The sequence below is a fragment of the Homo sapiens genome, chromosome 9 (assembly GCF_000001405.40).
Source record: "Homo sapiens chromosome 9, GRCh38.p14 Primary Assembly".
NCBI lineage: Eukaryota > Metazoa > Chordata > Mammalia > Primates > Hominidae > Homo > Homo sapiens.
Window position 1 is genome coordinate 21483148 of NC_000009.12, and position 16359 is coordinate 21499506.

A 16359-nucleotide genomic window follows, 5' to 3' on the forward strand; every position below is an offset into this window, starting at 1 on the left:
AATCCCTAAATGTCAAAAACAGGCACTCTGTAAACATGTATGGTCTCATTATATACCAGCTCAGCTGTATGTTTGGTCACTTAGTCTAGTATTAATAAGTTGAAATAAACTCAGTCAGCATGCTCCACAGAGGGTCTTTTCCCTCCCTATCTGAGAGAGAGAGAGAGAGAGAGAGAGAGAGAGAAAGAGAAAGAGAGAGAAAAGACATATGATAATATATAATATACGAAAGGAATAACACTTGTTTCATAACATTATGCTCAATCTATCTGGAAAGTAGAATTTTGACTAGTCTCAAAAAATCTTTAAATATTTAATGCTGAGCTTCGGGAAAACAATATAAAAATAAATTAAGAATATCAGAAGTTACTCCATCTAATAACAACGAGCTCTGATCTATAAGGCTTTCTCATCATTTTCATTCAATTGACAAAAATGATCTAAATGTTGTTTAATTTCCAAATGATCAGGGATTTTCCAGATGCCTTTCTGTTACTGATTTCATATTTGAATCTGTTGTGGTTAAAGAATGTAGTTTAAATTTATTGAGACTTATTTTATGGCTTAGAATATGGTTTATCTTGGTGACAGTTCCTTGTGAACTTGAAATAATAATGTTCTACTTTTGTTGGTTGGACTGTTTTATAAATGTCAAATAGGTTAAGCTGATTGAAAGTGTTTGAAATTTTCTGTATCCTTTCTGATGGTCTATTTGTTCTATCAACTATCAAGACAGAAGAGCTGAAATCCCTAGTATAATTTTAGATTTGCCTATCTCCCATTTCAGTTCTATCAGTTTTTGCCTTATATATTTTAGAACTTTAGTATTAGGTGCATCATATTTAGGATTATTATGTCGTCTTGATGAATTGACCCCTTTATTTTAAAATGTTCCTCTGTATCCTTTGCATTATTCCTTACTCCTAAATCAACTTTCTCTGATAATCATTTCTGTTTTTTTAATTAGTGTTAGCATAATATGTCTTTTATTGCATCTTTTAATTTAACTTATTCATGTTATTATATTAAAGTGAGTTTCTTGTACAGAGCGTATAGTTGGACCTTGTATTTTATTCTGTCTGACAATCTTTGCTTTATTAGAGTGTTTAGGTCATTAAATTTAATGTAATTGTCAGTATGGCTCAGTTTATATCTACCACTTTATTGTTTGTTTTCTAACTGCCCATATGTTCTTTTTCTCACTTTTAAGCTTTTCCTTCCTTCTTTTGGATTGAATTTTTGTTGTTGTTTTCTATTGCCCATTTTATCTCCATTATTGGCTTGTTAGTAATACCACTTTGTTTTACTTTTTGTTTTCATAGCAGTTTCTCTAGGATTAAAAATATACATCTTTATTTAACATATTACAGTTTACCTTCAAATAATATTACAATCCACTTAAGGTACAGTGTAGGGATATTATAACAGTATCCTTATATTTCCTCTCTCTCATTCTTTACACTACTTTCACTAATATTTCTTATATTACACGTCCCCTGGAAATAAACTCTCTTGGCTTTTGTCTGTCTGAAAAAGTATTGTGTCTTCTTTTTGAAATATATTTTTGCTGGGTATAGAATTCTAAGTTGATATATTTTTTCTTTAAGAACTGTAAAGATGTTGCTCTACTCTATTCTGGCTTGCATAATTTCTGAAGAGAAGACTGTGGTCATTCTTAATTTTATTCCTCTGTGCATAATGTTTCTTCTTTTTCTCTGGCAGCTTTTAAGATTTACTATCACTATTTTCTAGAAATTTGATAATAATGTGCTTTGGTGTGATTTTCTTCTTGTCTCTTTTACAAGGTTTTTTTTGAGCTTTGTGAATCCATGATTTTATCATTTTCATCAAATTTGAAAAAGTTTCAGACTTTATTTCTTTTAACATTTTTCTATTACCATTCCCTCCTTCCTAATCTCTTCTGGGACTACATCTCTAGATGTGTTTGACTGTTTAATATTATCACACAGTTCCCTGAAGCTTTGCTCATTTACTTTTTAGTCTTTTCCTCTGTCTTATTTCTAATAGTTTCTAAGTCTGCCTTCAAGCTTATTGGTATTTCCTTTGGTAGTATCTTATCTACAGTTAATCCCATCCAGTATATTTATCACTTCAGATATTATACTTTCATTTGTAGAAGTTGAATTTGTTTCTTTTTCATATCTACATTTCTTTCCTCATCACATTCATCTTTTCCTCTACATTCTTGAGCATATGGAGTACATTTATAGTAGGTGTTTAATCTCCTTTTCTGATAATTCTATCATTTGTGTCATTTCTGAGTCTGGTCTTGTCAATTATATTTCTACTCTTTATGGGTCCTATTTTCCTATGTCTTTTGCATGTTTGGTAACTTTTGAGTGGATTCTGAGCATTGTAAATTTTACTTTAATGGGAGTTGGATTTGTTAAGTCCTTTACGTACAGTTGAACTTTGTTTTAGGGTATAGTTGAGTTACTTGGAATTGGATTCCTCTGACATTGGCTTTGTTAGCATGAGTGAAGCAGACTTTATAATTTAGGGCAATGCCTTTGTAACCAAGAATATAGTCTTTTGAGGACTCTACTTAATGCTCTCTGAATTTGGAGATTTTTGCCCTCTGGCTGCTGGAAACATGAAATATCCCCAGCCCTGTGTTAGCACTGGGGACAGCCTGTACTGCCTGCTCCTTTCTGGGTGTTCTTTTCCTAATCGGGTAACTCCTTTACGCACATACACAAACCACACATTAGCTAAAGACTCCTGAAGACATTTTTACAGATCTTCGTAGCTCTCATTCATTCTTCCCCAATTTCCCTCTGTGCAGCAATATCTTCTCCAATATTTTTCTGCCTCCCTGAACTCCAAACTATGACATATCAACTCATTGAGAACACTGGTCTGTTGGAGTTTCCTCCTCTTTGTGCTGCAGCCTGCCAATTTTCTATCCAGCATTAAGCTGGAGCAATTGTAGGGCTTACTGTATTTCTTTCCTTTCTCTCAAGGATCATTATCTTACGCTGTCTGTTATCCAATGTCTAAAAACTATTTTTCGTATATTTTACTCAGTATTCTAGTTGTTCAAAGTGAGATGATAAATCTAGTTGTCCCTCATGACTAGAAGTGGAGGTTCTCTCATTATAAATAATCTAAAGTGGGAGTTGGCAAACTATAGCCTATGGACCAAATCTGTCCTACCACCTCCTGCTTCTTCTTTTTTTTTTTTTTTTTTTTTTTTTTTGAGATGGAGTTTTGCTTTGTCGCCCAGGCTGGCGTGCAGTGGCTTGATCTCGGCTAACCGCAAGCTCCGCCTCCCAGGTTCACGCCATTCTCCTGCCTCAGCCTCCCAAGTAGCTGGGACTACAGGCGCCCACCACCACACCCAGCTAATTTTTTTATATTTTTAGTAGAGATGGGGTTTCACTGTTTTAGCCAGGATGGTCTCGATCTCCTGACCTCGTGATCTGCCCGCCTTGGCCTCCCAAAGTGCTGGAATTACAGGCGTGAGCCACTGCATCTGGCCTACCACCTACTTTTGTAAATAAAGTTTTACTAGAACACAATGATGCTCATTTGTTATGGCACTTTCATGCTACAATAGCAAGGCTGAATAGTTGTGATAGGAACTATATGGTCTACAAAACCTGAAATATTTACTCTCTGGTCTTTTACAGAAAGGTTTGCTGAACCCTGATCTAAAAGATTAAAAACAAAATATAATTGTATTCAAAGTCTAGAAATTTTGAAAATGTTTTCACAAAAAATGTAATCTAAAGTAAATGTTAAAAATATTACATATTTTATATTTTCAAAAAACATGAAATATTTTATACAATGTTATCTATCAAAATTAAAAGACAACATGTGTGGTATAATTAATATCAAATTTAAACTGACAGTATTTAAATAAAGCATATACTTAACCTTTTAATTAAAAACGTATTAAGCATTAAAAATGTTTATAAAAGTAAAATTACATGCAATTCTATCTTACAAGGTTCATATGGATAACAATGTAAAAAAAAATGTATCACACTTCCAGCATATGTCTAGACCAACATAAATTAAGATTTAAGAGTAAAATAAATTGATTAATATTGAGAAATATTTTCCAGCCTCCATGTACAACTATTGCCAATGCCCATCATAATTTATGAGTCCCTCCTGAATCACTAATTGTTTTTTTTTTTTTTTTTTTTTTTTGAGCAACATGGCTCTTTATTTCACCTGGGTGCAGGCGGGCTGAGTCCGAAAAGAGTCAGGGAAGGGAGATAAGGGTGGGGCCGTTTTATAGGATTTGGGTAGGTAAAGGAAAATTACACTCAAAGGGGGTTTGTTCTCTGGTGGGCAGGAGTGGGGGTTCGCAAGGTGCTCAGTGGGGGTGCTTTTCGAGCCAGGATGAGCCAGGAAAAGGACTTTCACAAGGTAATGTCATCACTTAAGGCAAGGACTGGCCATTTACACTTCTTTTGTGGTGGAATGTCATCAGTTAAGGTGGGGCAGGGCATGTTCACTTCTTTTGTGATTCTTCAGTTACTTCAGGCCATCTGGGCGTATACGTGCAAGTCACAGGGGATGCAATGGCTTGGCTTGGGCTCAGAGGCCTGACATTCCTGCCTTCTTATATTAATAAGAAAAATAAAACAAAATAGTGAAGTGTTGGGGCGGCAAAAATTTCTGGCGGGTGATATGGACAGAGAATGGGCGATGTTTCTCAGGGCTGCTTCAAGCGGGATTGGGGCGGCGTGGGAACCTAGAGTGGGAGAGATTAAGCTGAAGGGAGGTCTTGTGGTAAGGGGTGATATTGTGGGGATGTTAGAAGAAACATCTGTCATATAGAATGATTGGTTGGCCTGGATACGGTCTTGGATGAAGTGACAAACTAAATGGAATAAGAGAAGGAGAAAAACAGGTATAAAAGGACTAAGAATTGGGAGGACCTAGGACATCTAATTAGAGAGTGCCTAAGGAGATTCAGCATAGTCCTGCCAGCAAAGATTATTTATTTACTTCAAGAGTTTAGAGTGGCAGTTTGGGGATAGCACCAGGAGATATCAGCTGCGATGGCTTGGAGAAACAGTGTAAACCAGCAGTGTAAACAAGAGCAGGGCATGTATGAGTAGTTGAGAACGGTGAATAGGAGTATGACTAACAGATGAGGATGAAATTTGGGCTTGACTGAAGTAATGGGGGCTGTCTGTGAAGCCTTGCGGCAGTATAGCCCAGGTAATTTGCTGAGCCTAATGGGTGTCAGGGTCAGTCTAAGTGAAGGCAAGTGTTAACAGGCTTTAATCCTTTCAAAGCATGCTGTGGGATGGGATATTGGCATTGAGCCAGGTAAGGGTGATTAGGTTTTAATGAGATGGTAAGGGGTGCATGATCGGTCGCCAAGGAGGGAGTAGAGGTATCTTATACTTGTGGGTTAAGATGGGGGAATACAAGAGGAGGACGCAAAAGAGGCTTTGGATTGGGAAGAAGGGCATCAATGAGATGCGGCTATGGTCCAGGAATAGTCAGGGAAGCAGATAATTTGGTTAAAATGTCTCAGCCTAATAAGGGAACTGGGCAGGTGGGGATAACTAAAAAGGAGTGCTTAAAAGAGTATTGTCTAAGTTGGCACCAGAGTTGGGGAGTTTTAAGAGGTTTAGAAGCCTGGCCGTCAATACCCACAACAGTTATGGGGGCAAGGGAAACAGGCCCTTGAAAAGAAGGTAATATGGAGTGGGTAGCCTCCGTATTGATTAAGAAGGGGACAGACTTACCTTCCACTGTGAGAGTTACCCGAAGCTTGGCGTCCGTGATGGTCTAGGGGGCTTCCGAGGCGATCGGGCAGCGTCAGTCTTCAGCCGCTAAGCCAAGAAGATCTGGGAAGCAGTCAGAGAGCCTTGGGCCAGAGTTCCAGGGACTCTGGGAGTGGCTGCCAGGTGAGTTGGACAGTCCGATTGCCAGTGGGGTCCCGCACAGATGGGACACGGCTTAGGAGGAATCTTGGGCTGCAGGCATTCCTTGGCCTGGTGGCCACATTTCTGGCACTTGCAGCAAACTCCTGGGGGAGGAGGTTCTGGAGGAATGCCTGGCCGCTGCGGTTCAGGCGTTTGGAAGTTCTTGTGTGCTGGAGATGTGGCTGGGGTTTGTCTCACAGTGGAGGCAAGGAGTTGAAACTTTTTTCTATTATTGTACACCTTGAAGGCAAGGTTAATTAAATCCTGTTGTGGGATTTGAGGGCCGGAATTTAATTTTTGGAGTTTTATTTAATGTTGGGAGCAGATTGGGTAATAAAATGTATATTGAGAATAAGATGGCCTTTTGACCTTTTAGGGTCTAGGGCTGTAAAGCATCTCAGGGTTGCTGCCGAACGAGCCATGAACTGGGCTGGGTTTTTATATTTGATGAAAAAGAGCCTAAACGCTATCTGATTTGGGATAAAGAAAAAGGAGCATTAACCTTGATTATGCCTTTGGCTCCAGCCACCTTTTTAAGAGTAAATTGCTGGGCAGGTGGGGGAGGGCTAGTCACGGAACGAAACTGTAAGCCCGACCAGGTGTGAGGAGGGGAGGCGATAAAAAGATTATAGGGTGGAGGAACGGAGGCTGAGGAAGAATTGGGACCTAGCTCGGCCTGGCGAGGAGGGGAGAGGTCAGATGGGTCTGTAGAAAAGGAAGATTAGAAAGACTCAGCGACGCTTGGGGTTGGGACTGAGGGGACAGGCGGGAGGGAAAGAAGGAAGATTTGGGACGAGTTGCACTGGGCGCAGAGACTAGGAAGGGACTGATGTGTAAAAGAATGCCTGGATGTCAGGCACCTCAGACCGTTTGCCTATTTTACGACAAGAATTATTTAGATATTGCAGGATGGAAAAATTCAAAGTGCCATTTTCTGGCTATTTGGAACTACTGTCGAGTTTGTATTGGGGTCAAGCGGCATTGCAGAAGAAAATAAGGCATTTAGGTTTTAGGTCAGGTGAGGATTGAAGAGGTTTTAAGTTCTTAAGAATACAGGCTAAGGGAGAAGAAGGAGGAATGGAAGGTGGAAGCTTGCCCATAGTGAAGGAGGCAAGCCCAGAGAAAAGAGTAGAGACACGGAGAAGGGGTGGGGGTTTCTTGCCCTCCAGAAAAGCAGAGAAAGGGTTGGGGCACAGAAATAAGGGATTGGGGCGCAGAGATAAGAGGTTGGGGCATGGAAATAAGCGATTGGGGTGCAGAGATAAGAGGTTGGGGCGCAGAGATAAGAGGTTGGGGCATGGAAATAAGCGGTTGGGGGTTCTTGCCCCCTAGGAAAGCGGGACTCGCCGCTAAGGGTGAAGGAGAAGGGGTTGAGGGGTACTTGCCCCTGCCCCAGGAAAGCAGAGAAGGGGTAGAGACAAGGAGAGAAGAGGTTGAGGGCTATTTGCCCCTCTCCCAGAAAAGCAGAGAAGGGGTAGAGACAAGGAGAGAAGGGGTTGAGGTACTTGCCCCTTCCCCAGAAAAGCGGGACTTGCCGCTAAGGGTGAAGGACCAAGGCAGGCGTCCCTGCGTGGTCTGACACCCTTGAAACATGGCTGAATGATCAGAGAGGCGTCCCTGCAATGATTAAACACCAAGGGAAGGCTGCCTTCCCAATCCGTGACCGGCGCCGGAGTTTTGGGTCTATGAATAAAACGTGTCTCCTTTGTCTCTCCCAGAAAATGAAAGGAATTGAAATTAAGAGAAGGGAGAGATTGAAGAGTGGAAAGGAGAAAGTGGTTGAGGGACAGTGAGAGAGGTTGGAGAAGAGAGTAAGATGAGGCCGCTTACCGGATTTGAAATTGGTGAGATGTTCCTTGGGCTGGTTGGTCTGAGGACCTGAGGTCGTAGGTGGATCTTTCTCACAGAGCAAAGAGCAGGAGGATGGGGGATTGATCTCCCAAGGGAGGTCCCCTGTTCCGAGTCAAGGCACCAAATTTCATGCGCGTCCGTGTGAAGAGACCACCAAACAGCTGAATCACTAATTGTTACGTAAAGACAAGCAAGAGAATGGACACTGGGGACTATTGAGACATGGTATTTCATTTTGTAAGAATCTATTGCGTTCCTGCTGTCCTTGAGGAAGGGTTTACTAGGCAATTAATGTGTCTTCTCTTTCCTCTGCAGCTCAAATCCCCTACATTCCAAGGCAACGTCTCCTTCATGGCATCAGGTACAGTCAATTTTTTGTAGGGGACTGAAAGCAAGAGATGTGGAGAAATATCTCCCTGGGTACCAAATGGAATTACTAATGAGCATGTATATTTAGAGTTATTGGGCCATATGTGAGCACTGAGTACCAGATCCTAAGTGATGTGGGTACTAGATGCTTTTTTAAAATGTTGTGTGTGTCTATGCATGTGTGTGTATGTGCACTTCCGTGTGTGCATACACATGTGTTGTATAAATTGAATCATGTCTGATATTCAGGTTTCTCAAAAGGGCAAGACCTAGAGTAGAGCATAGGTCACTCTTGTCTGAATCTAAGGATGGTATTAAGGAAATTCACTGCATGCTTACATTGCTTAGAGAAAGACAATGGAAAGTGTCATGATGATGAAAAAAGGGCTAAATCTTAAGTATCAGTCAGTATGACGAAGTCTCTAAAATAAATTAAACAAACGACTGGTAGTTCATCTTTAGCTAGAATGGGCTTTTCAATGACTTTTAAATTTATTACATAAGTATCAAGTTTTATTTATTCACTTGTCTCCATAAATTATTTATCATTACTGTCAATCTAAAAAATGTAATTAAAATTGTGATACCCTCTGTTTAAAACACACAAAAACAGTTCCAGTTAGTAAACGAGGCATTTTAAATTCAACCAAAGGATGGCAGCATAATATCAATTACTTAGAGCCTGGGATAAACTTTGCTGTTGGTAAGATATCACAAATTAATGGTATCTAGTGGTCTGATAATGTATGATCAGCAATACATTACTCAGACCAGGTGTATTGTTCCCATAACACATTAGCTCACTAGTCTGTCTAATCCATATTAAGATACTTGCTGGTTAGTATTGTTATATTTTCCTTTTTTGCCTTGACCACTCTAATGGACATGCCTTGCTTTCTGGCCATCTACTACCTCCTCTCCCTTTCTGGGGGTCGGGGGGTGGGGGCGTCTGTAAACATATTCTAACTTCTCTGACCACTCTGGGATCTTGTGCTCTGGCCAGACTCTCCAGCGTGCCACACACAGGGTGCCACATCTAGCCCTATCCCAAGCTACTCAGCGCCTCCCTTTGCTCTGGCCTCAGTTATTATTTCAGATATGGTTATTTTTCCCAATGGTATCGACACAGCTCTACTCCATTTTCTGAGCATAAACTTTCAAATATTTGACCATATTAATTTATCTATCATAGAATTCTGGAGCTGGAATTGATCTTAAATTGATATCTAATCTCTGCTTCCCTTTCCCTTTTTGAAAAATTCAGTCCTAAAGACAATAGATGGACAAAACAATGTAAGCATTTTGCTGGAAAGGGCAGGAAGCCACACTGCTGGAGCTCAGACAGGCAAAGGTGACTGTTTATGTGGAGAGAGAACCTGGCATGGGTGTCACAGCCTAAGAGTGATTAGAGCATCCGTGGAGCGGGGCTGCTGTGGGGAGTCATAACTTGAGTGGAGTGAGGAGAAATATTCTGTAAAACAATTGCCCTGTAATCGTTCAAGGTCATGAAAATCAACAAAGACCCAGCAACTGCTCCAGACTATAAGAGACTAAAGAATATAGCAACTGAATGCATAGCATGATTCTGAACAGGATCCATTTGCTACTAGGAATATTATAGGGTCCAAGCACCGTGGCTCACACCTGTAATCCCAGCACTTTTGGAGGCTGAGGCGGGTGTATCACCTGAGGTCAGGAGTTTGAAACCAGCCTGGCCAACATGGTGTAACCCCATCTCTACCAAAAATACAAAAATTAGCTGGGTGTGGTGACGGGTGCCTGTAATCCCAGCTACTTGGGAGGCTGAGGCAGGAGAATAGCTTGAACCTGAGAGGTGGAGAGTGCCGTAAACTGAGATTATGCCACTGCACTCCAGCCTGGGTGACAGAACAAGACTCCATTTCAAAAAAAAAAAAGAATATTATTGGATTATTGGGACTACAAATCTAAATACGAACACTGAGTATCATATGGTGCTAACGTAACAATGTTAATTTCTGAATTTTGTTGTGGTTATGCAGGGAAAATATCTCTGTTGGTAGGAAACACACATTAAAGTATTTGACAGTATTGGTGCATCAGCTTGGCAACTTAAATTATTTCAAAAATAAGATTCTCTCTCCTGTATTTTCAACTTTCATGATTATTTCAAAGGATAAAAAGTGTGTTTGTATTTTTTAACTAAATAATCCACATTTGAGACATGATGACAGAGGTCTAACAGAGCAGAATAGCCTTCTTTTTGTACACTATCATCAACTATACTGTTCTCCCTTTCCCTCTTCATAATTTAGGCCAAGAATGGCAAAAGCACAGTAGAAAGGAAAAGACCACCACTTCTCATGAAAATTGTATAACATGATACTCAGCACATGGGCTTTAATGTGCAACAGAATAGGTTTAAACCCCAACTCTACTACTTGCTTGCTGTGTGGTTTTTAGCAAGCTATTAACTTCTCTGTGTCTCAGTTTCATCAATGTTAAGACAAGTATAATAATGGTGTCTCTTGGAGTTGTTGTGAAATCTAATTGAGATAATCCACCTAATATGTTTAGTATAGTGCATGGCATGTAAGCCATGCATAATAAATGTTATTATTTATGTTATTATTAAAATATCATTTATGCTAAAATGATATTATTAATAGATAACGGCAGTCTGTTCCATCAAGCTCTAGGTAAGTACTTTCAAAATGCTCTGAGGGTAGCCCCTATTAATCAGTCACAGCTGGAAATAAGATGAAGCCCATTTTCTATTAACTGCTTTTTCAACAAATGTCAATTAATTCAAAGAAAGAAGAACCAAGTGTGTACATACTCTAGAAGCACTTAGATGACATGTATTGGTCCTCATGTTATTAATTCATTCAAGAAATGTTTATTGATTGCTTATTATGGTCCTAGCATTGCTCCAGGCCCTGTTCAGTTAAACAGAGATAAAGATCCCTGGAATGGAGTTTGATTGGATTAGGTAGGGTAAAAGGGGAGAAATAGTAGAGTATAAGCAAATGACATAGCACAGCAGTCCCCAACCTTTTTGGCACCAGGAACCTGTTTTGTGGAAGATAATTTTTTCCATAGACCAGGGTGGGGGAATGGTTTCGGGATGATTCAAGCACATCACATTTATTGTGCACTTTATTTCTATTACTATTATATTGTAATGTATACTAAAAATAATTATACAACTCACCATAATGTAGAACCAGTGGGAGCCCTGAGCTTGCTTTCCTGCAACTATCTTTCTCATTTGGAGGGAAACTATATTTCCCATCTGGAGGTGATGGGAGACAGTGACAGATCATCAGGCACTAGATTCTCACAGGGAGCACGCAACCTAGATCCCTCCTATGCCTAGTTCACAACAGGGTTCGCACTCCTATGAGAGAATCTAGTGCTGCCACTGATCTGACAGGAGGCAGAGCTCAAGAGGTAATGTGAGCAGTGGGGAGTTGCTGTAAATACAGATGAAGCTTTGCGCACTCACCCGCTGCTCACCTCCTGCTGTGTGGCCCTGGTTCCTAACAGGCAATGGAGCAGTACCGGACTGTGGCCTGGGGATTGGTGACCCCTGTTATAGCATTCTATAATGCAGATGTATACCAGAGTAAAATCAATTACGAGCATCTCTTTTTTTCTAAAGTTATTGACCTTCTGTATACAGAATGACACAAACAAATTGCTCAAGATCAATCCCCAAGAAACACCAATATTTAAGCAATGAGTAGAAGAGGAGACCAAAAAGTGAAATAAACAATGTCTAGGCCAGGTGCAGTGGCTCACACCTGTAATTCCAGCACTTTAGGAGGCTGAGGCGGGTGGATCACCTGAGGTCAGGAGTTCGAGACCAGCCTGGCCAACATGGTGAAACCCTGTCTCTACTGAAAATACAAAAATTAGCCAGGCATGGTGGTGGGTGCCTGTAATCCCAGCTACTCAGGAGGCTGAGGCAAGAGAATCGCATGAACTCAGGAGGCAAAGGTTGCAGTGAGCCGAGATTGCGCTATCGCACTGCAGCCTGGGGGACAAGAGCAAGACTTCGTCTCAAAAAAAAAGAGTGTCTAGATCAGAAGGAAAACCAGTTTTCAAGAACAAAGGATTGTGTAACAGTGTCACACACCACTAAGTGGGCAAGAAAAGTAAGTACTTGAAAACATATGTTGAAGTTAATTACATGGACATTATCAGTGACTTTGGCAAACGGAATTTTCAATGGAGTATTAGGGTGGAAGCCAGATTTCAATTCTTATAAGAGGAAATGGAAATAAACAACAAAATGATATAGGATATGCCCACAAAAATTTGATCACTACATCGAAGAGAAAAATTAACTGAAAATAGGAGTGAGAGGTTCAGTCTTGGCAAGTTTTGTTTTTTATCTTGTTTTGTTTTTTAAAGTGAGAAATATTCTCTGTTGATTAGAAGAAACCAGTAGAGTAGGGAAGAAATGGAACCAGAGCCTCATGTTGGGCTTGGTCTGTAACAGGAAGGAGAAAAGAATAGGATCAACACAGGTTTGAGTGCAGGTTTAGAAGAGGAAGCTCAGTGTTTCATTCTGGTGGTTTCTATTTGTTTTCTTGAAGTGGAAGACTAGAGCACGTGATGGACCATCTATGAGATTAACATGTGCCCTGGCACATTCTATTTTCTTTGCTTTGAAACCTGTCTTGTCTCCCAATTCAACTCCTCTTCACCCAGCTGACATGCTCTTACACATGGGCTTATAGCTCCATTCATAGCTATCATTATAGTCTATAAGATTTGTGACCATTTGACTAATTTCTCTCTCTCCCTTCAGAGGGTCCTATCCGTTTCTGTATTTTGCTTACAGTGCAGCCACACAGTGTAGCACACTACATTCCAGCCCAAAATACAGTAGACACCCAATAAATATCCCATAAATATTGAATGAATAAATGAACTTATTCAATAGAGGAGAAAGAGGTGTTCTAAACTTGAAGGGAGGGGGCAAATTTTAGGGTTGTGATAGAAAGAATGTGAGGGAGAGTTGACAAAGACAGGAGAGCAATATTGAGTATCTGCTTACATAGATTGGTGAACTAAATTAATAGAGGCACCAATTTGTCTTGATTTAAATAAGCAGAGAAGATTCACAGTCCATCCAAGGTTGGGACTTTGGCAGGTGAGAGTCAACTGAATGACAATGAAACAAGGGATTCTAGGATATTGGTAAGAGAGCTGTAGAAGTATTAGACCCCATGATCTACAACACATAAGTTTGAATTGTACATAGATTATCAAATTCAGGGGCAACGTAGTTCTCCCCAAACCCTCTGCTCATGTTTAAGTCTTAATATTAGTCTTTAGTCTTAACACTTTACGTACAATGTAATATTTAATACACAAGTCACACTGTTAGATGTACAGTGTCACTTGTATGTCCACTCAAATGGTGATATCGAAATAACAGCCATTACTTACTGAGTATATATTATGTATAAGACACTTCTTGAAGAGCTTTATGTATTTGGTCCTCATCATCTAATTCTTTTCTTTCCCTCTTAATCCTCAGCAGGATTCTCCGGTAAAATATAGTAAAGAAACAGAGACTCTTAGCATAACAACACGTCAAAGTTACAAGAAGTGGCCTAGTTATCAAGAGAAAAATTTATCCTACAGATGCTCCATTGTGACAAAATTTAAAAACCTAAGCTTTTTAAAGGTAAATGTTAAAAGGTACATGAACACTCTAAAAAAGATGTAGGCAAGTATGACCATCATGATTCTGAGAATGTTTCATCATGTGTCCAAGAGTGAACCAAAAACATGAACAGAAAAGGGAGGAGAGATTAAGACAGAGGGAAAATGGAGTGGGGGAGATGAGAGATATGAAACCCTGGACAACCATCTGAGATGGATCTCTGTGGACTGAAAAACATCTCATTAAAAGAAGTTAAGAGATAGTTTGAATGTTCTCTAACTCTAGGTGTGTTCACTGTTGATTAACCATGAGATTGTTTTATTTCTGGGAGTAGACAACACACCCTTGGCTGTCCAAAATTATTTTATTGACACTTAATACTCTTACTATGTGCTAGGCATTTGTCTAAAGGAATCACAAATATTATTAATAATTTATTTAATCCACAAAACTACCTTATGAAGTACTATTATTATCCCCATTGCACAAATAAGGAAACTGAGCTACTGACATATTAAATCCAAATGTTGTGTGCATTATTGAGAGAATAAATATAATGTTATTTCTAATCTTTATAATATTCTTGAGAGGCAGGTCTTATGATAATAAGATCATTTTAAAAATGAAAATAAAAGAAACCTATGATTTAGAAAAGTTAACATTTCCAAACATGGTCAGCTGGGATTTCTACTTCTGGTCATGAGGGACTGACAGGGTCAAGAATTACCCTCCCTCTACAAACAATTTAAAAACTAAACAAAATATAGGAAACAACTATTTTCAGTCATTGAAGAATAGCCAATCCAGGACTGTGATCCCTGAGAGATGGGAAACAAATGAGGCTTTTTGCCTGGGGGCAATTTTTAGACTGTGTTGCAGGGAGGAGGACCCTTTCTGAGCAATCTCTCTCAGTTCAGGAGACAGAGATAAAAGTCTGAGGAAGCCAAAGCATATGAAATTTGCAAGACAGAGTACCCAAAAGAAGTGAGCTACCCAGAAAAAGAGTTCTAGAATTTTTTTATAAGGGTCCCCTTGAGTCTTTGGTAAATGCTAATGTGTACATGCACTGGGTAAAGCCCTATGAGGCCCAGCAAGTACAACCTCCAAAGAAAGAATAATTGCTGGGGAGCTTTAAGCCAAACAACTTAAGCGCACATTCAAGACTGAAAATTGTTCAAGTTCCCACCAGCCACAGGGCAAAAGACCCTAAAAGGGCTAAAACTTAAATGTGGGGCTAAATTAGCCCGAAAGTAAAGACTACTACAGATCTGTCTTAAAAGAACATAAAAACAAGACTTTAATCAAACTAATCCACAATTACCATAGCTGCCTACTGAAACAAAATCCAACCTGTTTAAAGGAATACAACAAAATCCGTCACACAAAAACATACAATCACAATAACTGGCATTCAATTAAAAAAAACTACCAGACACAGGAAATAAGAATATATAAACTATAATCAGGAGAAAAATTAATAGAAAATAAATGAGATGATAGAATTAGCAAAAATATTAAACTGCTATCATAAATAGGCTCCATGTATTCAAAGATATACAAGAAATTAAGTATAAAAATAAATGAAATCTTGAAACAAATGTTCAAGATATAAAATACAATATCTGTAAAGGTCATTAGATAGCCAAATACAACAAACAAAGACAATTGATAGTAAATAAAATTAAAAGTCAGCTCCATGTGACTGTAAGGTATTATCGTTTTCCATGGTGCATTCCATTGTATGGTGCTCTGTAAAAAGCCACAGCTAACAACAAAAGCATGCATGTCACCCCAAACAGAGGGACCATGAGTAGAGGGACAAATGGCCATGACACAAGGAAAAGAACAGTTTTAGAATCAAAATAGACAGAGGCTCAAATTCTAGCTCTGTAACTTATCAACTAGGTAAACCTACATGAGTCTTCGGAAACTGAGTTTATTCCTTCATCTGTTAAATCAACATAGAAAGGCCTACTTCATACAAAGCAATAATTGATACTACAGGTAAGAAAGTATTACCATGTTGCTTGACACATAGGCACATAAATCTTTTTTCCATAGCTGATAGAGAAAAACCCTAAAATTCTCATGTATATTCAAGAAACTAAAGAAATATTGCTGATTAGAAGGCCTGACCCAGGCTCAGGAAAAGTTATGGTGTGGTGTGATGTGGTGTGTGTGTGTCTGAGTGTGTGTGTGTGTGCATGTGTGTGTGTGTGTGTGTGTGTAGGGGGTTGGTCCTGGGTGGGTCAGATGATATCAATGAACATATTTTTCTCTGAATAGCATGCAAAGTCTTAATGAATACTGCTCTTCTGACCTAAAAAAGGTAACAGGCATTCTAGGTGGAAATCATCACAGAAAAGGATCTACCAATATAATTTAGGAAATATAGCAAGTCAACTTTACCTTGGAATTAATGCTCTGTTTTTCTCTTGGAAGAAACAACATACTGGATGTGTCAGTGTTTTACACTAAGATAATAGTGGCTCTGAAATCTAGCCTACCAAATGTACAGTGCTTGGGAAGAGAGTTAACTTTTTAGTAAGGCTCCAT

At 39.4% G+C, this 16359-nt stretch overlaps 1 long non-coding RNA gene across 4 annotated transcripts in view, besides 1 other annotated feature; it reads right to left on the reverse strand.

The window, feature by feature from the left end:
- MIR31HG (MIR31 host gene) overlaps positions 1-16359 on the reverse strand; it is a 105531-nt gene that overhangs the window by 28880 nt on the left and 60292 nt on the right. The window lies entirely within an intron of this gene.
- Positions 4133-4722: an enhancer, noted in NCBI's record as "OCT4-NANOG-H3K27ac hESC enhancer chr9:21487279-21487868 (GRCh37/hg19 assembly coordinates)". NCBI's record gives its function as "activates a minimal SCP1, AML or CMV promoter by ChIP-STARR-seq in naive H9 embryonic stem cells {active_cell/tissue: H9 hESC(naive)}" and the evidence as "EXISTENCE:reporter gene assay evidence [ECO:0000049][PMID:30033119]".